The 27,672-nt window shown below is 37.7% G+C and overlaps 1 protein-coding gene across 1 annotated transcript in view, besides 1 other annotated feature; it reads right to left on the bottom strand.

The window, feature by feature from the left end:
• The window catches only part of IL1RAPL1 (interleukin 1 receptor accessory protein like 1), a 1,369,273-nt gene that overhangs the window by 1,301,786 nt on the left and 39,815 nt on the right, over positions 1-27,672 (bottom strand). The gene's annotated exons all lie outside the window — the stretch shown is intronic.
• Positions 10,837-11,737: an enhancer, noted in NCBI's record as "OCT4-NANOG hESC enhancer chrX:28661313-28662213 (GRCh37/hg19 assembly coordinates)". NCBI's record gives its function as "activates a minimal SCP1, AML or CMV promoter by ChIP-STARR-seq in naive H9 embryonic stem cells {active_cell/tissue: H9 hESC(naive)}" and the evidence as "EXISTENCE:reporter gene assay evidence [ECO:0000049][PMID:30033119]".

The raw sequence follows: 27,672 nt of genomic DNA, 5'->3' as shown, positions 1-27,672 counted from the left end.
ATACATTTTGAAAAATATTTCTCCCTATAAACCCTTAAAACCCAATATTCAGCCAGTGGTATGGGTTTACTTGCATTTTCCTTTGGGTCAAAGTAAAGTATTTGAGCAAATTTCCCAATTTCCATGAGACTCAGTTGCTTCATCTTTAATTACAGAAAATGTTTAAAGGATCTCACAGGGTCCTTGTGACATCTAAATATGGCAAACATCAATGATGTCTGACACATAGTAGTTGCTGAACAAATGTTTATACTTTCCTTCCCTGTGCTTGATATTTTCTATCCACGTATGGACCAAATAAATTGCTAAAATCATAGATTGCTGACATAATCTTGACAAACACAAATCACATTCCATTTAGAATTGTTGTCTTCCTCCAAATAGCTTTTGTAGCCCAACTGTATTATTATCTATGAGTTACAATTATAAAAATACATATATATTTGAAATGATTCATGGATATTTAACAATAAACATTTAATCGGCCCCATTAGCTTTATGTGAATATAATAAAAGTCATTGGAGAGGTTTTTTTTATTTAAAGTAATTTTTCAATGGGGATAAGAATACCAAGCTTTTAGATTTATTGCTTAAAAAGAAATAGGTTAATAAATATAAAGCATTTGGTACAGTGTAGTGCACAAAATTAAGTCCTCAATAACAGATAACTTATTATTTTTTAAAGACCCTTAAGGTTTTGTTTGTTTGTTCGTGTGTGTTTTTTTTTTTAACCAAAGAAGTACACCAAATCATAGACTGCTAGAACAATTTAGAAAAAAAGAAAGAGCACAAACGGGGTCGGGGGTGGGTGGAGTTGCCTAAAGCAGCAACTATTCACTCCTGCCTTAGCCCCATAGTAGCTTAGTAACGTTTGGCAAGTCAACCTCTGTGACCCTCAACGCTTTCCTTTAACCCCAGGGTGATTTGTTTCAGCATTCAACAAATGTTTACTGAGCACATAAGGCAGGCCACATAGAATGAACCTTTAATATGATGGCATATATAAAAGGGTCTATACATAATCAAATGAGATCCAAATGCAGGTTCCTGTGAGCTTTGGTGAGAGATCTAATTACAAAATAAATTAACACTTTAGCTGCCTGACAGAGGAGTTGGATTTAATGTTGTGATCATCAAGATGCCATTCCTGAGAGCCCTCATGACACTAAAAGGCAGGTCTTTCCTTAAAAGCACAGGACCAAACATGGAAGTGTGCTCTGGTAGATGTAGAATAATTAATGGATTGCTATTGTCATCTTACTTAATTTTACACACTTTCTGAATCCCAAGTCATGCAGAGAGTCTATGTACCTCTAGCAATGTGAGAGCACGTCCATTTTTATATACTATATACATACATACATATATCTCAGCCTAGTATATGAGCTGCAGGGACTTTGGTGGTAAAAATGGTGTTTGCAAAGGGCAGCCTGACCCAAAGAAAGCCTTTTTTTTTTTGAGACCCAGTCTCTCTCTGTCGCCCAGGCTGGAGTGCAGTGGCATGATATCAGCTCACTGCAACCTCCGCCTCCCGGGTTCAAGTAATTCTCCTGCCTTAGCCTCCCAAGTAGCTGGGATTACAGGTGCCTGCCACCACGCCTGGCTAATTTTTGTATTTTTAGTAGAGACAGGGTTTCACCATGTTGGCCAGGCTGGTCATCAACTCCTGACCTCAGATGATCTGCCCACCTTGGCCTCCCAAAGTGCTGGGATTACAGGCATGAGCCACCACACCTGGCCAAGAAAGCTTTAAAGAAAAAAAGGTGGAGTTAAAATATTCTCCAATCTTTATTATGTTGTATTGAAAAATATACTGAAAAAATATCTGGATCAAGCTTCCTTGAGTTGAGCTAAAATACAAGTGCAAAACTTTATGTGACAGGATTAATGAGGTTCGCACAAGTGAAAAGATTGGCTCTACCTGCGCGTGTCTTCTTTTGCTAAATGTGACATACTTCTCTACGCAGGACTCATTTATTAAGTTGGTCTTCTATCTGGAACAAAAATTCACTTAGGCTAGATTTATTTGAAAATATAGTCCCCTGCCCCCACCATGAACTACTAAACCCCAGATTCAGCTAGGGTCCTGAGTTGATATATATTTTCCTCCATGTTTTTTTCTCTACTAAAAAAAAAAAAAATCACGTCACAGTTATGCAGCTATGCAGCTGTTTTACAAAGGCTGAATCCTGCTACTGTTGTGTAAATGGTATCATTTTCTTGATCAAAAATGTATTTTTATATTTACTTGCCCCCCAGAATATAGCATGAGGCTATCCTTGGAGATTCATCAGCTGGATCTACTACAATAAGGCGATTGTGGTCCCCCGTCAGCATTGCTCTTGAGGTGAAACATAATTAGCACTCCATCAAAAACCACTTTGGAGAACACAAACAGTAGTTGGCTTCCAAATCAGACTCCTGAAAAGAACGGCATTATACAGTATAAATAAAATGCTAATTTATTATCGATTGTATGAGGGTAGTGCATGCACAGAGAGGCTTGGTTGCTTTCCAATATAAAGTACATATTTGATTACATCCACCCTCCCTTCATCTTTTGTAATAAAGATGCTTGCAAAGAGGTTGGGCTGAACATTCTTCAATACACTCTGTGTGTGCTATGGGAGTTAGGAAAAAAAAGAAATCCTGCTCCTATCCGCGAGGATTTTACAGTGTGGAGGGGAGAATAGAGCATGCAACAACAGAGTAGTCTCCCAGGTCCTGCCTCTTAATCACTGCCCTTAGAAGATACCATGTCTGAGAAGCCGTGCTTGCCCAGATTTAAGACTCAGGGCTGGAATAAAAATCAAGGTTTGAGTAGCTGGAAGTACTGCCCTATTAATAAACCATTTTAAAGCCTTAAAATGGAACAACTCTAAATATACTTTTGGTCAGACATAGGCACCCAAGTTACAAATCATTTGACAGCTGATGTGCTACAAAGTGAGTATTTGGAAATGTTCTTGTGGAGGGATTTTTAAAGACTACAGTAAACCAAAACCTTTCCAGGGTACTTTAAGTATAATTCTGTCCAGAAGGAGTAGGAGAGATTAGATGGCATCTCAAGCTTCCTTACAACCCTATAACTCTGTCGTGCTAAAGTACTTACATTGCAGAGGAGCCATGCAATTTTATGCTGCCCCGTTAAAATACTATAAAAAAAGAAATGTTCAACATAACAAAGTAGAATATACCAAACGCCATTCAGAATGAAGGTGAAGGCAGATTGAAAGACATGGATTAGTTAGGTAGTGTATGTTCTCAAATGAGAAGGATTGTTGTAACATAATTAAATCGATTTTATAACATAGTGAAAGAGTCCTGGCTTGATTCAATTTGCTTTGAGAAGAATCTTACATAGCCAGTCAATATGGTTCCACAAAGATGAACAAAAATCAAATGTTGGGGGTAGAAAAGGATCCTAATAATCATCTAGGTCAGGGCTTAGCAAACTTTCCTTGTAAAGGACTAGGTAGTAAAAATTGTAGGCTTTGTGAATCATATAGTCATTGTGGTAAATAGTCAGCTCTGCTGCTGAAGCACCATAGACAATAAAAAGCAGCCATTAACAATATGTAAACAAATGGGTGTGGCTGTGTTCCAATAAGACTATATTTATGGACACTAAAATCCGAATCTCATATAATTTATGTGCATAATGGAATATAGGTTGAGTATCCCTTATCTGAAATGCTTGAGACTGTGTTTCAAATTTCTGATTTATTCTGATTTTTGAATATTTGCATTTACATAGAGAGATATCTCAGAAATGGGACTCAAGTCTAAAGAAGAAATTCCTTTATGTTTCATATACCGCTTATACACATAGCATGAGGGTAGTTTTATACAGTATTTTTAATAATTGTGTGCACAAAATGAAATTTTGACTGCATTTTCACTGAAACCCAGTCACATGAGGCCAAGTATGGAATTATCCGCTTATGAAGTCATGTTAGCACCAGGAAAGTTTTGGATTTTGGAGCATTTTAGATTTTTGGATTTTCAGATTAGGAATGCTTAATTTGTATTCCTCTTTTCTGACATTTTTAACCATCTATAAATATCAAAACCTTTGTTAGCTTGGAGACCATACAAAAAAAGACAGTGGACTCCATTTTTTAGTACAGTAGTTTTCAAACTACTTTTAGTAGCAGATGTCTTCAAGTGAAATTGCACAGGTGGGGCTAATAAAAACTACCTTTTAAGTAGGAACTTCCTCTCTTCTAATAAAGTTGCATAGAGCAAATAAGAGCAAGATTGCATTGACTTAGAGGCACTAACAGGAGTTGCCTATTTGCTGCTCCCAGAGGCCCACCTCCCTGCCTTGCCCAAACTAAAATTCCTCAATGTATGATATGGTTTGTCTGTGTCCCCACCCAAATCTCATCTTGAATTCCCACGTTGTCGGAGGGACATGGTGGGAGGTAATTGAATCATGGGGGCAGGTCTTTCCCATGCTGTTCTTGTGATAGTGAAGAAGTCTCATGAAATCTGATGGCTTTATAAGGTGGAGTTTCCCTGCACAAGCTCTCTTTTTGCCTGCTGTCATCCATGTAAAACGTGACTTGTTCCTCCTTGCCTCCCGCCATGATTGTGAGGCCTCCCCAGCCATGTGGAACTGTGAGTCCATTAAACCTTTTCCTTTTGTAATTTGCCCAGTCTCAGGTATGTCTTCATCAGCAATGTGAAAATGGACTAATACAATGTACAATTCAGAACCCATGACTATCATTCAAGCTACTCAGTTTCTTCCTGAAGAATCTGAGGCATACGAATATGAAATAATTGTTTGAAAGCATTGGTCATTTTAAGTAGACAAGCTCCAGAATATGAATCCTTCATGTGTCCTGGTTTTGACTTCCCCCAAACACAACAACATAAGTTTTTAGGGGTAAAACCCAAGTTGAAGGTACACGTGAGGGCCAAGTAAAAGAACAAAATGCTGCCTGAGTATCTAGTAGAAAACTCTTCTCTCATGGCACTCCATGTCAGAGACACGTGGGAAACTTGTGGTTAAGATTGGAGAGTGTTCACCAACTAGGGGGACATTAAACCAGACTCTCCCTCACATGTGAGTGCTTTCTGGTAGCAAACAGGGCACTTATGTGCAGTCTCTGGAGGAGCCCTAGCCCTATCAGGATGGGACTGCCTTCATCTGTGCTTCTCCCATCACCCTGAAGTGACTCAACACCAGATCACTGCCAAGGAGTCTCATTCGGCTTCCTATGATGGCATCCCTGACTTTGGATAAAACTGCTTAATACAGCATTTCCCAAAGAACATCTCAAATAACGCTAATGTTGTATTTCCAGAGATGCAAATAAGTGTTCTCAAATCAAAAAGGGGAAAAACAAGTTCCCTGATCAAACAAGTATACACACTATTTCCCATTAGTAATCAACAATGCACATTGGCAGATTAAAGGATCTGAGAAACCTTACAGGAAAGGATCTTACTTAACTTTTTAAACCAGCATTTCCCCCAATTTATTTTAGAATGTAACTGGGTTTTTTATTCTTCTGTTCTTCATTTTGTTCTCGTTTTCTGGACTCACACCTTTCAGTGGAGGTGAAAGAAACTGGGAGCTGGTTTTACACTCAAGATTCTTTTGTGATACTTAAAAGCTTATTAATTTACTCAACAAATACACTTTGTGTGATTACTGTGGGCCAAATACCGCCGCAGGCCCTTGGAATACTTTGATGAACAATAAAGGCATGTTTTTCTCTCTCGCAGAGTTTATATCCTAATTAGGGAGACAAACAGAAAACCAGTAAATAAATAAATTTATCCATTCCACAATGATTTATTGAGTACCTACTTTGTGCTAAGCAATGTTTGTGCCAGGAAATGGAGATACAGACAAATGACCACCCTTGTGGCTTCCATGACAATAATAAGTTAATGATGAAATTCACCTTACTTAAGCTCTTATTATGTGCCAGGCACTGTTCTATATGCTTTACATGCTGAGCACCAAAACCATCTACCTGTATATTCAGCTTGGATATTGAGGACTAAAGCTCCCTAACCTCATACCTCCACGATAATGTAACTTTGTATCCCACTGTCATTACTTTCCCTGAGTTTCTGGCTGAAGCAAGTGGTTTGATTGTTCGTTACAGGGACTTTCCAAAAGACCCATCTCTTCCCAACTTTTCAATAGAATCAACAGAGAACTTACAAAGTACAATTTTTTGAAATCCTGTCTCAAAATCCTGGCTTTCCTGTTTTCACCAATCCTAGACTGTTATATCCTGATTCATACCCAATCTTAATAAAATCCTCTTTTTGAAAAAACCCCACCTTAAACCAAACTTCCAATTCTCAATAAATCCCGACCTTGCCTTCACCTTTGGGAGACAAAACCAAAGTAGTTCTCCTGAGGTAGTGGTCTTCCTTATCACAGTTATTTTACCAACAAGTTGTATTGCTAATATTTAGAGAGTCAACATTTTACAAAGCTAAATTCATTTATGGCTCATGACAACCCTATGACATATGTATCATCATTGTCCTTTTTTAATGTATGAGGAAATTGAGGCACAGATAGTCAAAGTAACATAGTCATGGTTCTACTGCTAATAAGTAGCAGAAGAAAGATTTGAATAGAGGATATCAGGCTTAAAAGACCATAATTTTGTATAGGTAGGGATGAGTGCCATGAACTCTAAAGTGAAGAGATATGGGAGTCATGAGCTGATTTAGATGGGTAGCCTTAAGAAGTCTTCTCTGAAGAGATGATATTTGTGGGAGACTTCAAATGATGAAAGAGAAAGACCCATTCCAGGCAGAGGCAATTCGCAAGTGCAGGAACGAGCCTGGTTTACTCAAGGAAAGGAAAGGCTAGTGTGGCTGGAATGTGGAGAGTAAGGGGAAGAGTGGTAAGAACTGAAGTCAGTGAGGAGACAAGGGACAGCCTATTTAGGATCTTCTAATTTGAGTTTAAATTTTATTCTGATCATAGCATGAAGCTTTCCAAGGATTATAAGCAGGGATATGAAGAGATGTTTTAAGTTTAAATACCTATGAAGCATAATTTTCTCTCTCTATGAAACTAGAACCAGGCATACATTTCTGCTCCATATTAAAGAATATTTACTCCAAGCCAAAATAACCTAGATGCTTGGTCCAAGAAACACCTGCTCCTAAAAGATGACTATGAACTGACTCAGTGACATATTTGTCACAACTCATTTCAAAACCATTGTCTCACAGTACCCACCAATCCAAATCCATTCACTCAAATGTATCCGACAATTCAAAACTATGCAATGAAATTTGTCCAAACTTAACCAATCCCTGCCTAACAAGACCCACCTTGAAATAACCCAGACCAAGCTGTAAAATATAATAAATAACCTATTCTAATTTTCCCATTTTGAGATCCTACTAAGACTCTGTAGAATTATGTTTTTTTCTTACAGCAGAAGGTCCAAAAACTTAAATATGTATGATCAAAAGGTTTTTCTGTTGTTCATTTGGGGAGCCTACAGTCAACACTACTGTGTGAAGAGTGTGGATCAAAGGCCAAACAAGAGAACAGAGACCCATGAGGAAACACCTGAAGGACAGCTGAAGAGAGATGTAAACTAAGGTTGGGGGCAGCAGAAAAGGAGACAAGTGATTAGATTTGGAATATATTTTGCAGTTTGAAGTTTCTGGAAGATTGTATACTTGTAGGTAGAGGTTTAGGGAATGAGAAGAAAAATAAATGTTATCTAGATTTTTATTTATTATTAATTTTTAAAATTAGCATGATTTTCTTAACCTGGGCAGCCAACTAATGGTAGTGCCATGTACTAGGAGGAGAAGTTGAAGAAGAATCAATTCTGAGAGTAGAGGATAAACAGAAATTTCCTTTTAAGTATGTTAAATTTGAAGGGCCAATTAGCCATCAATTGGAGCTATCAAATAAGCATTTGGAATTATGCTACTGTGGAGCTATCACAGTCATTCGGCTTAGAATTCAGCCAACTTGGGTGTTTTTCAAGGCTACTGGGGAACTAAGGGAAACAAGAAGTGAGAGATAAATTTGCAAGGGCCATGCAAAGGCAGCTAAATGTTATTTTTATGTTTGAGCAAATGTTATCTTTGGGATATGAAATGGAAAGATCTGAGAATAAAAATTATGGAATGAAAGGAGTAACAGTTGGGAATACATAGAGTGCTAGTGACAAATTGAAATTGCTACTAAGAAGTGCTCTAAAATTATTACTTGTAGGATTTTCTCTTTATATCCATCTCACTTGTTTCTGTCCCACGAAGGAGAAAATCACCAATTTATCGCTTTCAGCAAGCACGTGTATATTCAGAATTGCCACACTGCTCTGCTCTTTAGAAAGATAAAATATACCACATTGCATTGAACAAATCTACAACTGGAATTTTTTTTAGAAAAGATAAGTATTTGTGCTGTGATTGCGCTATCATCTGGAATTTATTATAATGTGACAATATATTCGTAGTAAAATGATACAGTAATATATTAGCAGTAAAATGATACAAGTGCAATAATATGTCTAGAACAGGGGTCCTCAACCCCTGGGCTGCAGCCTGGGTCAGAACTGGGCTGCATAGCAGGAGATGAGTGGCTGGCCAGCCAGTATTAAGCATTACAGTCTGAGCTCCGCCTACTGTCAGATCATGGGAGGCCCTACATTCTCATAGGTGTATGAACCCTATTGTGAACTGCACATGCATGCAAGGGATCTATGTTGCATCCTCCTTACGAGAATCCAACTAACGCCTGATGTTCTGAGGTGGAACGGTTTAATCCTTAAATCACCCCCCAGACCCCGTCCATGGAAAAATTGTCTTCCACGAAACCTGTCCCGGGTGCCTAAAAGGTTGGGGACCACTGGTCTAGAAGTAACTTACATTTAGGATTCTTACTCATATTAGCTGTGCCTGGGTGAAGATCCTTTAAAAATCATTTTATAATAATTCTAAGCACAATACACTCACAGGTTATATGCATTTGCCAAGGCCACTTTAAGAGCTTCAATATTTTACCACCTTTACGAAGAGGTATGGTTAATAAAATTATCAGAATGCACCTTACAAACATTGGTGGGGTAGAAGAGGAATCAGTGATTCTATGAATTAATATAATCATCATATTTTCAAAGCATATTGCATGAAGCCTAAATTTGAGAAACTAGAAACTGCAAAGAAAAAATAGAACATTAATTTGCATTGGAATATTCATAGGCTCAATTCTTCTCTCTCATTTCTAAATTTCTGAAATTTTCCTGTTACTCTTCCTGCTTTCAATTTCTCCTTACATTAATCTTTCATATACATGGTGACCCGGGTTACCTTTCCCAAAGCAGTATTTTCATTATTATGTCACTTTAGGTCATCAATGACTGCTCATCGCCAATAGCATAAAATCCAAGCTTTGATCTGCAACTCAAGAGCCTCTAGAATCCAGAGAAACCTCCTTTTCCAGCCTTCCCTCTCACTACTTTTCCCTCTATGACATCTAGATTTATCTTTGCAATCACCTCTGAATAGACCCTTTCATTTCTACCTCCCTCTCTCTTTCTTTTCCTTTTTTTTTTTTTTTTTTTTTTTTTTGAGGCGGAATTTCACTCTTGTTGCCCAGGCTGGAGTGCAATGGCACAATCTCAGCCCACCACGACCTCCACCTCCTGGGTTCAAGCAATTCTCCTGCCTCAGCCTCCCGAGTAGCTGGGATTACAGGAGCACGCCACCATACCCGACTAATTTTGTATTTTTAGTAGAGACAGGGTCACTCCATGTAGGTCAGGCTGGTCTCGAACTCCCAACCTCAGGTGATCCACCCACCTCGGCCTCCCAAAGTGCTGGGATTACAGGTGTGAGCCACTGCGCCTGGCCCCTCTCCCTTTTATCCATACTTTTTTTCCCCAAAGAGATTATGCCACCCTCAAAAATAAATGTCTTACCGTTCTTCTTAGCTCATAATAGCCCCTTCTTGTTTTCAGCCTTTAATTACTACATAGCCAATAGAGCTCATATTTTATGGATGAGTATGAAAAGGATGAAGAGGCATAAGATGTGCTTCATTAAACCTGTCCTCTCAAAACTGGTATCAACATTCTACAGTCATAACTTGCTGGTCCCCTCTAAATAAAAGTGTGAACAGTTACAGGGCAGCGACCTCATTGATATAATTTTTAATGCCCACAAGCTTATAAGTTGAACTCAGCAAGATTTCAGTGATGATCTCCTTTGGAATTTGCCAAAAGATTTTTTTTTTCAGTTTAAGAAAATGAAGATAAGCATCAAAGTATAGTAGAGCTTATTAGTAGGGATTATGCAGGCTGACAAGCCTCTGTTCTCATTGCTCTCCTCATCCAGGGAACCTCAGTCAGTTAGAGTCAATTAACAGATATATGAACTGAATCTTCTGAGTGCAAGGCGCTAGGTGGGAGTGTGTATCAACGAGCATGACAAAGCTAGGGCCCTTATGTAGTATCCACTCATAATTGCTTGCGTCCTTCAGGGGCAAAGTTTTCTTTTCTTTTCCAGAATCAGGTGAACTGAAAAACAGAAATCATAAGAATATTTCTAAACAAGATGAGATGTAGGCTAGCTGGTTAAGAGCTCAGTGACAAAATAAGAAAGGATGTAACTAACTCAATGGCAAAAACATAAGATCTGTAACTTCAAACAGGTATAGCAACTGATCAGCAACTAACTCAATGACAAAAATGTAAGAGCTATAATTTCAAACAGGTATAGCAACCAATCAGCAAGAAACAGAAGGATCACTGTCCTCCCTGGATCTGGAAGCTAGAAGAGTATATTATATATATATATAACACTTAGGAGAAAAAAACTTATTTTCTGAACAAGAGAACATATTTGTCTCTCTCCCTCCACCTTAGGAAATAGGACTTTTTGTTGAGTAAATATCAATAAGCTACTTTGATCCCTATTTTCCATAATAGGGCAAAGATGTTTGCATTCTAAAGAAAGTGAGAATGGCCATCAGGATTTTGTTTTGCCAAGAATGTGTTTGTAAACTCAGGACCAGAGCTGAATTATTTGGCACAACAAAGGAGAGTTTTGAGGCTATGTGGGAAAGAGATAAAGAGGAATGAGACAGCTGGCAGCTGAAGAGAGGGATTTGGGAAGGGAAAGCAGGCAGATGTAAAAGAAAAATTAATTTTGTTTCTATCAAGTGATGTGTGATGTCAGTCCTCTTCTTGATCTCCTTTCTAAATATTCAGTAACATCTACATTTATTACTAGTGTGTTGAATATTTGTTTCTACTTAGCTACTTTTAATTAAGTTTTTTTTTTGAGGGGGATGTGGGAGCAACAAAGTGCTTAACAAATCCTCAGGAGACAGCAGGAGTTCTATACTTAGGATTAAGAAGAAAGGAATGGTAGTGTGGTAACCATTCTTCAAGATGGCTCCTAATGATCCTTACCACCTGCTATTCATGCCCTTATGTAGTTTTCTCACACATTGAATAGGTTTCATCTTGTAACTAATAGGATATTGTAGACGTGATGGTATGTGACTTCCAAGGCTAAGTCACAGAATGCATGGTGGCTTCCAAAAGTCCTCTCTTAACCACTCACTCTGGGGAAAAAAATCAAACAACTTCCATTTCTTGAGCATGCTCAAGCAGTACTATGGGGAGGTCCGTGTGGCAAGAAACTGAGGCTTCCTGCTAATAGCCAGCATTAATTTGCCAATGCTATGAGTGGGACACCCTGATAGGAGATCCTATAATACATACTGCCGGGTGCGGTGGCTCACACCTGTAATTCCAACATTTTGGGAGGCCAAGGCGGGCGGATCATCTTAGGTCAGGAGTTTGAGACCAGCCTGGCCAACATGGTGAAACCCCATCTCTACTAAAAATACAAAAATTAGGTGGGTATGGTGGCACACGCCTGTAATCCCAGCTACTTGGGAGGCTGAGAGAGGAGAATCACTTGAACCTGGGAGATGGAGGTTGCATTGAGCCAAGATCACACCACTGCACTCCAGCCTGGATGACAGAGTGAGACTCAGTCTAAAAAAAAAAAAATCTTTTCAAAAAACCAGCTCCTGGATTCATTGATTTTTTAAAGGGTTTTTCGTGTTTCGTGTCTCTGTCTCCTTCAGTTCTCCTCTGATCTTAGTTATTTCTTGTCTTCTGCTAGCTTTCGAATTTGTTTGCTCTTGCTTCTCTAGTTCTTTTAATTGTGATGTTAGGGTGTCAATTTTAGATCTTTCCCACTTTCTCCTGTGGACATTTAGTGCTATAAATTTCCCTCTAAACAATGCTTTAGCTGTGTCCCAGAGATTCTAGTAAGTTGTGTCTTTGTTCTCATTGGTTTCAAACAACTTATTTATTTCTGCCTTAATTTCATTATTTACCCAGTAGTCATTCAGGAGAGGATTGTTCTGCTTCCATGTAGCTATGCAGTTATGAGTGAGTTTCTTAATCCTGAGTTCTAATTTGATTGCACTGTGGTCTGAGAGACTGTTATAATTTCTGTTCTTTTGCATTTGCTGAGGAGTGTTTTACTTCCAATTATGTGGTAAATTTTAGAATAACTGCGATGTGGTACTGAGAAGAATGTATATTCTGTTGATTTGGGTTGGAGAGTTCTGTAGATGTCTATTAGGTCTGCTTGTTCCAGAGCTGAATTCAAGTCCTGAATATCCTTGTTAATTTTCCATCTCGATGATCTGTCTAATATTGACAGTGGGGTGTTAAAGTCTCCCACTACTATTGTGTGGGAGTGTAAGTCTCCTTGTAGGTCTCTAAGAACTTGCTTTATGAATCTGGGTGCTCCTGTATCGGGTGCATATATATTTAGGATAATTAGCTCTTCTTGTTGCATTGATCTCTTTACCATTATGTAATGCCCTTCTTTGTCTTTTTTTATCTTTGTTGGTTTAAAGTCTGTTTTATCAGAGACTAGGTTTGCAACTCCAGCTCTTTTTTGCTTTCCATTTGCTTGGTAAATATTCCTCCATCCCTTTATTTTGAGCCTATGTGTGTCTTTGCACATGAGATGGGTCTCCTGAATACAGCACATCGATATGAACAGACACTTCGCAAAAGAAGACATTTACGCGGCCAATAAGCATATGAAAAAAAACACTCATCATCACTGGTCATTAGAGAAGTGCAAATCAAAACCACAATGAGGTACCATCTCACACCAGTTAGAACGGCGATCATTAAAAAGTCAGGAAACAACAGATGCTGGAAAGGATATGGAGAAATAGGAATGCTTTTACACTGTTGGTGGGAGTGTAAATTAGTTCAACCAATGAGGAAGACAGTGCGGCGATTCCTCAAAGATGTAGAACCAGAAATACCATTTGACCCAGCAATCCCATTACTGAGTATATACCCAAAGGATTATAAATCATTCTACTATAAAGACACTTACACACATATGTTTATTGCAGCACGCACTATTCACACTAGCAAAGACTTGGAACCAACCCAAATGCCCATCAATGACAGACTGGATAAAGAAACTGTGGCACATACACACCATGGAATACTATGCAGCCATAAAAAAGAATGAGGTCATGTCCTTTGCAGGGACATGGATGAAGCTGGAAATCATCATTCTCAGCAAACTAACACAGGAACAGAAAACCAAACACCACATGTTCCCACTTATAAGTGGGAGTTGAACAATGAGAACATATGAACACAGGGAGGGGAACGTCACACACTGGGGCCTGTTGGGGAGTGGTGGGCTGGGGGAGGGATAGCATTAGGAGAAATACCTAATGTAGATGACAGGTTGACGGGTGCAGCAAACCACCACGGCATGTGTATACCTATGTAAGAAACCTACATGTTCTGCACATGTATCCCAGTACTTAAAGTATAATTAAAAAAAAAAAAAATCCTACATTTCTAGTCAAGCCTTCAGAGGATTGCAGCCCTAGCCAAAATCTTTATGGCCATCTTATTAGAGACACCAAGTCAGAGCTACCCAGATAAGCTGTTCTTAAATCTCTGACCCAAAGAAACTGTGAGGATGATAAATGTTTGTTGTTGTTTTAAGTTTGGGGATTTGATATGCAGCATAGATAAGTAATACTGGTAGCTTCCTAGTGTTTCACAGATTCTATTACTGCAATTAAAGGGCAAAATTTTGCTTATTGGAAGGATCTAGGGTTTTGGATTACACCAGGAATATAGTTTTAGTTTAACCACTTACTAGTTATGAGTTTTTTTTTTTTAATTTCCTGAGGCTCAGTTTCTTCATCACTAAAATGAGGCTTCTAATGTTTGATAAGATAATAAAGTATATATGGCTGGACGGGGTGGCTCATGCCTATGATCCTAGCACTTTGGGACGCCAAGGTGGGTGGATCACTTGAGGTCAGGAGTTTGAGACCAGCCTGGCCAACATGTTGACACCTCATCTCTACTAAAAAAAAAATACAAAAATTAGCCGGGTGTGGTGGTGCACACCTGTCATCCCAGCTACTCAGGAGGCTGAGGCAGGAAGATCGCATGAACCTGGGGGGCAGAGGTTGCAATGAGCCGAGATGACACCACTGCACTCCAGCCTGGGTGACAGAGCAAGACTCTGTCTCAAAAAACAAAACAAAACAAACAAACAAAAAACAGACCATAGGAAACTATATACACCATCTAATATATGGCTTGGCATATCCTATGTGTTTAATAAATGTTGGTCATCATAACAGTACTAATTGTTCATATATTTACATTATCCTTGGAAACCCTTAAGGTACAATGAAATAGCCTATTCATAGTATGCAACGTTCAGTTCAAGTAAGTCCTAAATATTTGGGCACTGTTCACTTACTAAAACAATTTACCTTACTGGGAACTAGTAATGCTATGATGGCCACTATATGTTCCTGGTTCAGAAAATGCAAGGGACCTAGAAGAGTGTACTGGACACAATTAGTGATCTGCTCCTATACCCTTCATTTCCTTTACCAGTGCTTTGTTTTATCCCATATGTTCTGTAATTCATGATAAGGGCTTACAGCAGAAACTTCTAAAACTTGACCTTGGATACTAGAGTTGTCTCACCCTAATTTAGAACCAGAAGTTCCTGAGAGTTTATGTTCCTTGGGACAGACTACAGTTCATGATTGACTAGCTCTGGATTATAAGAAGACAGTTCCTATGTCTTGAGACAAGACAAACTCAGAGGTACAATTTTTGTTCCAGGGCTCACCACAGGATCAGACTGAGTCAGAGACTTCACCTGAAATTGAACCCTTGCTTGGCTTCTTCCCTTTTTTATTCTGCTTCTTTGATCCTTCACTGGTATTTCCTGTGAGTACTTCCTTAATAAATTACTTGCGCTGGAATCCCTGGCTCAGAGTCTGCTTCTGAGATCCTTCAAGTTAAGACAGAATTTAAGCCAGGCCTGCCCTCTCACAGACACTTTTATTTTCCGTCTTTAGGAACAAATGTGACTGAGCAGCCAATTCAACTGCTGATTTGAAAATTAGCATAGAGTATGGGGGTTACATTTTTGGAATTTCAAAATTACTAGAAATGCCAATGCTTCTAACCTAGCTGAAGGTCAGGTAATTGAGTTGGAAACAACATTTGTGAAAGGAATGTTGTTTCCAGTTAAATTCAAATTATACACACCATGGCTAAACTATGTAATGCAAATAACACACTCTGATAATAAGGGGACTAATGAATGAATATATAAGCACACTGCCTTTTATACAATTCTGAAATTTCTTCTCAACTGAATTACAAACTCTAAATCACTCATTGCTCCCAGAGGGAGAATGGGAAGAAGATTAATACATAATGAGCACTTGTTTCATGCCAGGCAACATGTTAAAGTGTTTTATGTATCTTTCAATCTTTGTGCTCATGCTTCAAAGGAAAGGAGTCCCACTTTACAAAAGAATCTGAGAGTCAGAGTGTTTATGTAACTTGTCTGTGGTCACACAGCCAGCAATAAGAGAATATATTCAAGCCTATGTCTGTGTGATCATCAAAACCATAATCTTCCCACCCACAATGGTCTGACGTCAAGAAAAATGTTGATATAATTACATCAACAAATTGCGGCACAACTTACAATTTTGAGTGATTCTAATTCCTGGAGGACCCTTTTTAGTGTGCATGTTAGATAAACAAGATTTTTACATGCTTCCCATTCATTTACGACCACATAGATTCACTCTGATGAATCAGCCAATGAAATATTAAGGTACTTTATGATATGCCTATATCGAGATCATCCCTACGCTTAAATACATAATATTAATATATTAATATTTTCATCTCTCCTTCACAAGAATGTCATTTCCCATCCCTTATTGACTATCTAGTAGGTCTGAAATAAAATTAAGTGAGAAGGCAAACACATCATTAAGCATGTATTTTTCCTATTGCCCAAATTGTTTGGATTAACTCCACTAGTAGATATATTTCCACAGCAGTGAATTTTCAGTCAATAGAATTACAGAGGAACCTAATAAGGAAGTAAGTAATGTGGGAAGATCGAGATAAGACAGGGTAGGTATTTCACTTGACCAGTGAAACATGAAAATGCTCTTGGGAAGCCAGGGCAATTCTGAATTACGTTAATGGAAGACTCTATTCAATGTACTTGACTACTCTTCTTGCCCATTTTATTCTCTGACTTATGAGGATTAATTATAACTCTACTAACCTGTATTTTCTTGTTTAGCCTATTCCAGGTCCTTAATTCTGGACTAGGCATATAATTTCACAATATACACCAAAAAGGCTTTAATGAAGTATAAAGGGATGTAAAAAATTCTTCTAAATCTTCCCTTTCCCTGTAGGATATTTGTTTAAAAATCATTAAATTGTTGACCTGGAACCTTCCCCCTAAGAAGTGGGTTATTTTATGTCCTGAATAAATAGAGAAACTTCCAGTTGTGTCCCAAGAAAAATTCCAAGATATATACAACAAGAATCTTGTCTATGAATTCCTGAGCTAAATATTTTCTTAACATTTACATGGCATTAATATCCAGTTTTTAAAAAGTATGGTTTTGGGGATGAACACTAAAATAATGGCCTGGCAGTGAGAAGACAGAGGCAAAGCCTTATGTCTTACAAAATTAATCATTGACTAAAATGGGATCAAAATGTTTTCACAAGCTAGTGGTTTGTCTATTGTTCCTCATTTGATATTCACAAAAAGAGCTTGAAAATATATTTATACAGCAACAGTAGGACGCAAACACAATGTTTTACAACAAATGTTACAGTGATTTTCAATCAGCCTAGTCTTTGTCTTTTTTCCCTGAAAATATCCAATATCCTATTGACTTGATATTCTTTGATGCAATGTTCTAAGAGAGGAGAAGAAAGACTCCAGATTAGTTTCAAGCATAAATATCTCAGTGAAAATCTAACAGTGTATTGAATACTTCTTGTGCCCTGCTTCATACTGAGAGCCTACCTTTTCCTGTGCCCTTTGCTAGGATAAACAGCACCTAACTGCATTTGCTTGCATGAAGCTTACATTATTCTGGGGGTGGGGTGGAGGGCACACAATAAACATGTAGTGATAAATACTAAATTGAAAATATCACAGAAAGTGACTGGGATTTTATATCTGGTTGGACAGGGAATATCTCTCTGAGAACCTTTTTTGTTGTTGTTGTTAAGTTTAAAGTTGAGATCTGCCCATTTATTTAAAATTTGGAGGGAAGAGCATTTCTGGCAGAAAAATCAGAGATTAGAAAGGGCTATGATTAGAATAAGAAATGAAAGACACCAGTGTGGCTGTGGCACATGAAGGAGGTGGGGGACATGGCAAAAGGTGAGAATTTTTTTATCTCACCCAATTTCAACCTTAAATATTCATATCTTATCTGTATTCTACCCCATGTTTGTTTTAGGGAGAAGTTTTCCTTCAAATTTTCTAATAAGATGCTCTAAGAAGATGCTTTTTATTTATCCTGTAGCTTTAAGGATCCTTATGCCACTGTTGAGTTTGGTGGTACGGCAAACATTGTTAGTCTCTAACCAACATATCTTGTCCCATTCTTATTTAAAAAAACCTCTGATTTTGTGTAAAGTGTCCATATGCTTAGTTAAGCGTATTCACCTTCTCAAACTTCCTTGTAGCTAGGGGTGGTGATTGACCCAGTTGTGATCAGTGAGACAATGTTATATAGCATTTTGGGGAAAACTTCTGAAATTGATGTCTCAGGTTGGAAGGATTTTGACCCCAGACAATCCCCTTTTGCTCTATCCCTTATTCCTTCTTCCTCCCTTGAACATGGCCATGAGGTCCAGAGGTATATCAGCCCAATTACAATCATGAAGCTGAAAGCCACACACTAACCATGGTGGAGCAGAAAGCCAGATGGTAGTCAAGTCCCTGATGGAATCATTGCACTGCACTGCTGGACAGCCTGATTTTTTCTTATTGCTTGAAGAGAGAGAAAAGGTTTTATGGGCTTAAACTATTATTAGTTAAGGAAAAAGACACAGTTGCCTGCCTTGGAAGAATTTCCAATGAAATCAGGGAGGCAACATGAAAAATAAAAAATTATGTATCTTTAAATCCAAATAACATAGATCAAATTGAATGTATGTTGATTTATAAGATACTAACTTCCAAGATGGTATTCAAGTTCTGTGGTGGTTTGCTCACTCTGCCTGGAATTATAGTAGGCAATCAATGAATATTAGTAATATAATTATCAAAAAATAAATGCTTAATGAGTAAACTTATTTGGGATTACTCACAAAAGCCTCTGTAGAGAAAGTAAGTTTTAAAAGAAATGGAAGAAACATAGATAAAAGAAAGAGATGACATTCCAGGTGGGAAAATAATGCCACATCTAAACATAAGTTGGTCAACAGTGCTTTGTGGGTAAGAATGGCTATGCTGATGCTTTTGGAGATATGGAAAAATACGGATAGACCAATAGACTAGATAAATATACAAAAAATAATAGGTTTGCTTTTTAAAATGAATCTGCTAAGCCTTATAATGAGACCTGACAATGAAAGGAGAGTAAAAAGTTCTTGGAGGAAGACAAGAAAACACTGTACTTGTGAAGGAAACTTGCCTATGTAATATGAAAAATAAGAGCAATTATAATACAAGACAAAGTATTCAGTGGATGGCCATGCCTGCCGGGCTACACATACACACACACACACGCCATGATAAAGTTACGATGGGGTAAAAGTAATCCAAAAGCTTTAGCCGCAAACTCCAACCATGTTTAACTCATGTATAACTCAACTTACAATGGGGTTGTGTCCCAATAAACTCATTGTAAGTTGAAAATATAGTAAGTCAAAAATATATTTAATACACCTAACCTACCAAACATCATAGCTTAGCCTAGCCTATCTTAAACATGCTTAGAACACATTAGCCTACAGTTGGGCAAAATAATCTGACACAAAGCCTATTTTATATATAAAAAAATAGTGTTGACTATCTCATGCAACTTATTGATTACCTCATGTACTGAAAGCGAAGGATAGAATGGTTGTATGGGTACTTGAAGTACAGTTTCTACTGAATGTGTGGCACTTTCACACCATGGTAAAGTAAAAACATCGAAGTTGAACCATCATAAGTCAAAGATCAAATCATCGTAAGTCATTGATGTCTATAACAAAATCTGAGATTGTACCCTACTTGCAAGGTAATGGGTTAGCCTGCCACAGTTTCATGGATGCCAACAGAAGACATGAAACTCTTGAGTCAGAAACAAAAAATGGCTTAAACATTACTCACAGCAAAAACAGTAGCCAGAGTACTCACATTTTGTGCCAGTTTCCCAAGGTCTAATTCCTACAGGTTGACATGAAGAGAGATGGATGATATTTGCACATGCAATAGGTACATTATAGGAGAGAAACTTTGATCTTAGAGAACTCAAATCTTTCACAGTAAACAATAAACATGTCTTCCTCTTGCTCCAAAGGGAGATATTATTTCTATCTCCCAAGATAGTGCAAAGAGTTCATAAAAAAGGCATTCGGTGCCTCTTCTAACAAGACATACAGAAAAGCTAAGCCATATGGAGAATTGTCTCCAAATATCATTTGAAAATATCTGAGAAAAGTAGGTATAAATGATATAATTAAAATAATTGTAAAACCAGGAACAAATATTAATTAAAAAGTAAAGAACGTGATTTCAGAAAGTTTGAGTCCAAAGTGATTGATAAGAGGTTAAAAAAAATAGAAAGAATAAAAGTAAGAGAAAAACGTGATAAAATGAGGGGAAAATAAAACAAAAGAAGGACTAAAAAATTAGAAAGACAGGGAATATGGTAGAATCATTGTGACACAAAATAATAATTACATATATTCTATTAAACTTAATTTCAAAATTACTTATTAAGCATCAACTCTGAAATTCAACCTGGCAGGAGTTGGGGAAAATAAAAACAGTATTTATGACTTATTTCTGTGCTTGAGGAGCTCATATATATATACACATATATATACATATATACACACATATATACATATATACACATATATACATATATAAATACGTGTATATATACATACGTATATATGTATACATACGTGTATACGTATATACGTGTACATACGTGTATATGTATATATACACATATATACATATACACACACACACACACACACATATATATATAAATAACCAAAACCAGACCTGGCGTGGTGGCTCATGCCTGTAATCCCGGCATGTTAAGAGGCCTAGGCAGGCAGATGGCTTGAGGTTGCAGGAGTTCAAGACCAGCCTGGCCAACATGATCTCTACTAAAAATACAAAAACTAGCCAGGCATTGTGGTGCACACCTGTGGTCCCAGCTACTAGGGAAGCTGAGGCAGGAGAATCTCTTGAACCTGGGAGGTGAAGGTTGCAATGAGCCCAGATAGATAGCACCACTGCGCTCCAGCCAGGGAGACAGAATGAGATTGCGTCTCAGTTAAAAAAAAAAATTCTATGATATAATCAATCTTTAAATATTTAGTATTTTTAGTAAAAGCAATTAAGTGTTGGGAACTTTTTTATCAGCTATTGAAATGTGGCCTAATGTGGTCATTAAAATAACATTGCATCCCATAAATATACACAATTATTTTTCGATTAAAAATAAAATAAAACTTTAACAAATTAAATTGTCATCTTCAAAAGAGTAAATGAATGGTCTGTTTTACATAATGGTAAAAAATAAATGTTCAATACAGTTGGCTCCCAACTTTTTGACCATTAGGATGAAGTTCACTTCAAAGATGTAATAATATTCATAGGCTGAATTTCTTTAGTAGCAAAACAGATATGTTACAGCAGCAGTTTTCAAGAAAACACATTATTTGAACCAGTTCACTGAAGGATTGCCCAACAGATATCACAAAAATAGTTCTGTCTCATTCTCATTGTGGACAATGAAGAAGTATAAAGTGAAAAATATCATCAAATATAACTTGCAAGTGAAATCCATCTGTATGCCATGGTTTGGTATTTCTCTGCAAGTGGAAAAAAGTCAATATTTACTATTATTAGCACAAAACACTAAAATGTGGTATTGAACTTAAAGGAGTTGGGGAGCCTTTCAAAAGTAGGATGCCAAAATTACAAACCTCATTGATTTGGGAGTGTTCTTAAGCTTTAAGGCAGTGGTTCTCAAATGTGTGCTACAGGGACCACCAATGGTCCTCAGGAGATTTTGGAGGCTCTGCAAAGTCTGTACTATTTTCATAATAATACCAAAATGCTATTTGCCTTTTTTGCTCTCATTCTTTCAAAAGAGTACAGTGTAGCAAAGTGTGGTGGTTCATGCCTGTAATCCCAGCACTTTGAGAGGTCAAGGTGGGCACGACACCTGAGGCCAGGAGTTCGAGACCATTCTGGCCAACATGGCGAAAACCCGTCTCTACTAAAAATACAAAAATTAGCCAGGTGTGGTGGCGGGCACCTGTAGTCCCAGCTACTCAAGAGGTTGAGGCAGGAGAATCACTTGAACCCAGGAGGCGAAGGCTGCAGTGAGCAGACAATGCACCACCACACTCCAGCCTGGTTGACAGAGTGAGACTCCGTCAAAAAAAAAAAAAAAAAAAAAAGCATACAGTGAAGTTTTCTAGAGGTTACATTTCATGAGGTATCATAACAAGTTGGCTATAGTTGCAGATATGCAAATTCAGCAGCTTGTATAAAGATAGATATTAAAGAGATTTACAAAACTGGAAAACAATGCCACTCTTCACTAAATTTATTTTGTTTTGGAAAATGTAGTTATTTTCCCTAAAATAATGTTAATTTGTAATGGGAGGTCTTATTGGTATTTTCAAATAAATAAATACATATATTTTAAATTTCTCAATTTTAATGTTTGACATGGTAAATATCGATAGATATAACCCACATAAACAAAAGCTTTTTGGCATTTTCAAGAATTTTTGGAAGTATAACAGGAATCCTGAGACTAAAAAGTTTTTAAAAGCCCCCTTCTAGGAAATGACATTTTCATGTAAAAATTACACCACTTGCTGTTATTGACTAAATTGTGGGCCCATAATAATCACATGTTGAAGCCCTACCCACCAATGTAACTGTATTTGGAAACAGGGCTTTTAAAGAGGTAATTAAGGTTAAATGAGGTTGTAAGGGTGAAGATCTAATACAATAGGACTGATGTCCTTATAAGAGGAGGAAGAGATACCAAAGGATGCACACACACAGTAAAGATCATATAAAGACACAGTGAGAAGGCAGATAGATATCCACTAACCAGGAAGTGAGGCCTCACCAGAAACCACCATTAACGACACCTTGATTGTGGGTTTCTAGACTCCAAAACTGTACAGAAATAAATTTCTGATGCTTAAACTACCCATTCTGTGGTATTTTATTATGGCAGCCCTAGTAAATTAATACATTTGCTAATAAGTGAGATTATACCATATGCCTGGCATTTTTCTATAAGTTTTATCTGTGTTTCCTTACTTAATCACCTTTTAACCTATGCGAGCAAGTGATAATGTTATTCCCCTTTCACAAATAAGGAATTCAGATACAAAGAGGTATAGCTCATGAGTCTTGCCAATATTAAATCGGAGTCTTTTGAGCACAGGCTCTTGACCTCTCAACTATATTACATTTTTTCCACTTAACGTTAAACAAAGCTAGGAGTACTTATGTCTCCCAATAAGGTTTTCAATGTAGTAGTTTGGGGAGGTATTAGGATAGTCAGAAGTCCTTTGTCTAAAATAGTGTTGAAACCTTCTTAATCTTTGGAAGAAAATCTACTTTGGAGAAAAGCTTAAAGATTTGGGGGATTTGACGTTTACCTAGGAACAGGATAGCTAAATAGTAAAATTAAAAATGGGCTTTAATCTTCAACACATTTTACTTAGTAGCACTACAAACATTTGGTCATGTCAAGGAACCATGACGGTTTGAAGGAATTTTTCACCCCTATGGTCTATACCACTATTTTGGATTGTGTTGTGCATATGCTCTCCTGGTACCCTTTACCCTAGAGCACTTATTACAGTGTGCAATTAGATATTTATTTTATTTTATTGCTCTTTGTATCGGACACCTCTTGAGCCCTTTCTTATATCTTCTTCATTTACCTTTATATTCCAGCTGTTGGTGCAACCATCAGCTTTGTGCAGATTATTCTGAAAATGTCTCTCCTCACCTATACTATTTATTTCTCTGCCATATCTTAGTGGGACAATTTCAGGAACCAACTGACACATTCCAAAAAGCACAGGCACAAGACAGTGAACCATGTGTGGGGCAGCCTGTGACCAATGGGGGATGGAGCCAATAGGTATCTGTGGCAGACAAGCCCACTGTACACTCTGTATGGCTTCTCAAGAGGCTCCTGATGGGATTGAGTCTAGCTCAGTGACATACCCTTCCTTCCTTCTGTTTCTCTCACTGTTATCCATCTTCTACTCCTGATCCTTTGGTTTCTTTTCCCAATATAAACCTGCATCTAAAGCCTTGTCTTAGCGCTGCTTATTACAGGGAAATCCAGGCTAAGACACTACCTATCTTGCCCATTTGAATGTAAGCTCCATGAGAAGAGGTGGGAAAGGGAATATGTTTGGCTTCTTCACCGTTAGCAATGAGTTAGGCATTTAATGAACATTTCTGAATGAATTAATTCATAGAGGCACCCATGATCCCCACATAATATATCGATGTATATTTTCACTAGGAATTTCTTCACATTTAATAAATCATTTTATAACACACCTCCTATACATCTGAAATCATTCACTCTCAGCCTAGTATGAATTATTTCACTCAAGAATTATTTTTATCCTCCTTAAAATTGCTAGAAAATATCAGTTGCAGTAGACGAATAGAAAACCTGAATTAGGAAAGCATGAAGGATGAAAACAGGTGGATGAAATAGAAGCAGGGACAGCTGAAGAAGCTCAACCAAGGTGGCCTGAAGGGGAAGAAGGCAGACGGGTTGAGTAAAAGTGCAGCTGGGAGTCTGCAGGGGAATGATAATGGAGTCTTGTGAATTTGTGCACAACCTGCTTCACCCTTTTGTTTAGCCCAGCTCTAAGGATAGACAATTATCTTCTTGATGATGATCAAATAAGCCCCTTGGAACAAACTGAACAGAAGTGTCCTGATTGGATTGCTGTGAAAGGCACTTCAGTGAGAGAATGATAAAGTGTGAATTAGGGCTTGGGAAAAGGAAATAGTTATTATCTGGGAAGAAAGCTAGGGAAAATTGAAACAAAAATAAAGCCCAGATTAGTGAAAGGAAGAGGACAAATGAAACAAACAAAAAAAAAGTCGATCTATCACTGACTGCAAATCAACAGTGAAAAGGAAGATAGAAAAGTGTGCCTTGAAACCTATCTTTATGGCTTTTCTCCTGCAGTTTTTTATATTGTTATCATTGTTCTTTTAAACTTCCTTGGTATGGCTCCCCGCTATGACAATAATTTCCCAGGAATTGACAAACTGAGTTTTGTATATTTTTAACATATCAGGAGGCAAGTTGCTGAGAAGAATAAAGTTTATTTGTAATATTAAAATAATAATTCATGATGCTGTTTCAAAGCTGCCACAAGTTGAATAGGATGACTGCAAAGGAAGCACTTTTCGCCAATTTTAAGCCTCTCTTTGCCGTGCTTGCCTATTGTTAAATAGCTTCTTGGCATTTGCTCACTCGAGGCCCAGGTAGTGTTTCTGTAATGGGCCAGGAATGGAATTTGATCTCTGAAAATGGATGTAGATTTAAGTCATTGACCACCATGGATACACAGAATGTTCTGACATGCTCCCGGTAATCATGCTTATTAGATAGTCCCAATTTCAGTAGACAGCATCTACCATCTTTAGCTCTTCCATCTCCACTATCCTACCTATTTAGAGAATTATCAAGTTCTGACTAGTAAACTGGATAATAAATTCACTTTCCGTTTGGTCCCCAAGGTAAGTGTGTATTATATTTTGGTACATAGCATATTTTGCTGTGATACTTTCCATGTCCATCTCTTTAATAGATCATGTCTTTCATGAAGATAAAAACAATGACACATAGTAAGGTCCCCCAGTGATGACCACCCAATCGTCCACTTAGATAAATGGACTTTGCTTCTTTAGGTATAGTGAGTTTCCCATCATTAGAAGTTTTAGCAGGAATAAACCATGAAATAATTAAGGTCCCTTCAAGCCACAAACTTTATATTTCTATACTAAAGCAAAGTCAAGAAACAAGGGCGCCTTTTCTTTGCATAAATGTCTCCTACTCACACTATTTATTCTCCTACTTTCCAATTGTGTACTATGCAAGGTACCCTCATGTGATATGCCCCCTAAGTGTGTTATGAGAGAATTCTGTCTCATTGGCAAAATCATCGTCCCTCAAACTATGAACTTGCTATTTAGTAGTCTCATGTAAAACATTTTGATTTTGCAAAATGATAATACATATTATTTAATATCCACATTTATTTTGCTGGTCTTCTTCCTAGGATAAAATGAAGAAATGGAATCGGCTAGCAAAGCCCTAAAAAAGTTTTAATGAGTTAGAGAATAAGAATTAAAAAGAAAAGCTAAAATGTTTTAGATGAGATAATGCAAGGCTAAACTGCAACTTAATCACAGTAGATAAAAAATAAAACCCGTCAACCGTAAGGAACTGTTTGCATAGCTATGAATTCAGAGAAACGATGTGTGTATAATCTGTGCTCCATATCAGGGTATTTATTTTGTCCACACATGATACAGAGTAACCAAATGCATCACAATTTTAGTGCAGTTTCATGCATTTGACTTGGAGTTGCTTTCATCTGGTGAAAACAAGACTACAGTTGATGCTTGGAAGAATAAAAATGCTTCACTTAAGAACATAAAGGGCTCAGCTGCTTAAAGCTCATCTGCTTAAGGCTTCAGCATTTCTTATTCTCATGACCACCTATGATGCCTAAATAATCCTTTCTGTGCTGCAATTTTCTTCAGAGTATGATGGATCAATATTTCCTGTATATCAAAACAGCTGCTCCCAGAAGGGAAATTACTTGAGACAACTATGTCATGGGAGAAGGTTAAGTGCAAGAGGCAGATGGCAAAAACACCACAATTCTTTGCCCCTCCCTGTGTCCACACACTTTGCAATGTGATTTTGAAATTCTTCTCACTAAAGAGGCAGAGTCCATTTCCCCTGCCCTTACATCTGTACTGGCCTTGTGACTTCTTTTGGTTAATAGATTGCAGCAGACATCACAATCTGCCAGTCCTGAGCCTACCCTTTAAGAGACCTTTCATGTTTCTTCTTCTCTCACTCAGAACATTGTGACCATCAGATAAAAGCAAACCCAGGCTGACCTGCTGGATTATCAGAGCTACATGACCCAGGTGACAGCCAGATGAGCCAGCCCGCAGCCCCTCTATAACTGACTACAGACACTTGGACATGCTCCAGCGAGATCCAGTTTAGCCCAGCCCAAATCAGAAGAACTGCTCAGACGGGCGACCTTATTGTTTTATCCACTACATTTTGTGATGGTTTGCTTCACAGCAGTAGCTAACCTTGTAAGTGACAATTGTCTGAAAGAGGATTGCTTAAAATAAACAACAAAGAAAATGATGTCAAAAAAAAAAAGAAAGAAAATGATGTGACCCAATAAAGTAAGAGTACTGGAGGAGATTTTTGAATGCCAACATTCATTAAGGAATCCCAATTTTTCAGATGTGCACCTGATCCCAGAAATTAGGTACACATACTGCAGATATTTATAAAAGGAACTAGCACAGAAATTATTATAGACAAGGAAATTATTAAATGTCTGAAGTATCAGCAACAGAAAGATTGGTAGAAAACAGAAGCTGCTAAAGCTGTGACTGTCGCCTGGTAAATATTGATTAAGGAAAATGAAAACTAAAAGTGTAAAAAGCACAGAGTGAGCATAGGTGTTGACTGTGGGCCGTGCTCCTACCCCAGAGATTACTGCTCACTTTGTAGCACTGTAGTCAGGATGAAAATGGCAGATTCCGTAAAGCTGTTAAAGCAATTTCTTAATGTTTTTGCTTCCTAAGCAGTGAGAGCTTTCTATTTAAATTTCTATCCTTCAGAAGAGCTGCATTAGCGAGCGACAGAGGAGGAGAACCACCACATAAACTTGAATTTACTCCCCACCCTCCCGTTTAATCCTTTAAAAGTTGGGTTTTCAAGACTCAAAATTATAAGTCCTAAACCTACCTTCA

The sequence above is a fragment of the Homo sapiens genome, chromosome X, assembly GCF_000001405.40.
Source record: "Homo sapiens chromosome X, GRCh38.p14 Primary Assembly".
In the NCBI taxonomy this organism is placed as follows: domain Eukaryota; kingdom Metazoa; phylum Chordata; class Mammalia; order Primates; family Hominidae; genus Homo; species Homo sapiens.
Note: the sequence above shows the minus strand (reverse complement) of the source record. Positions and strands in the feature narration are given on the sequence as shown.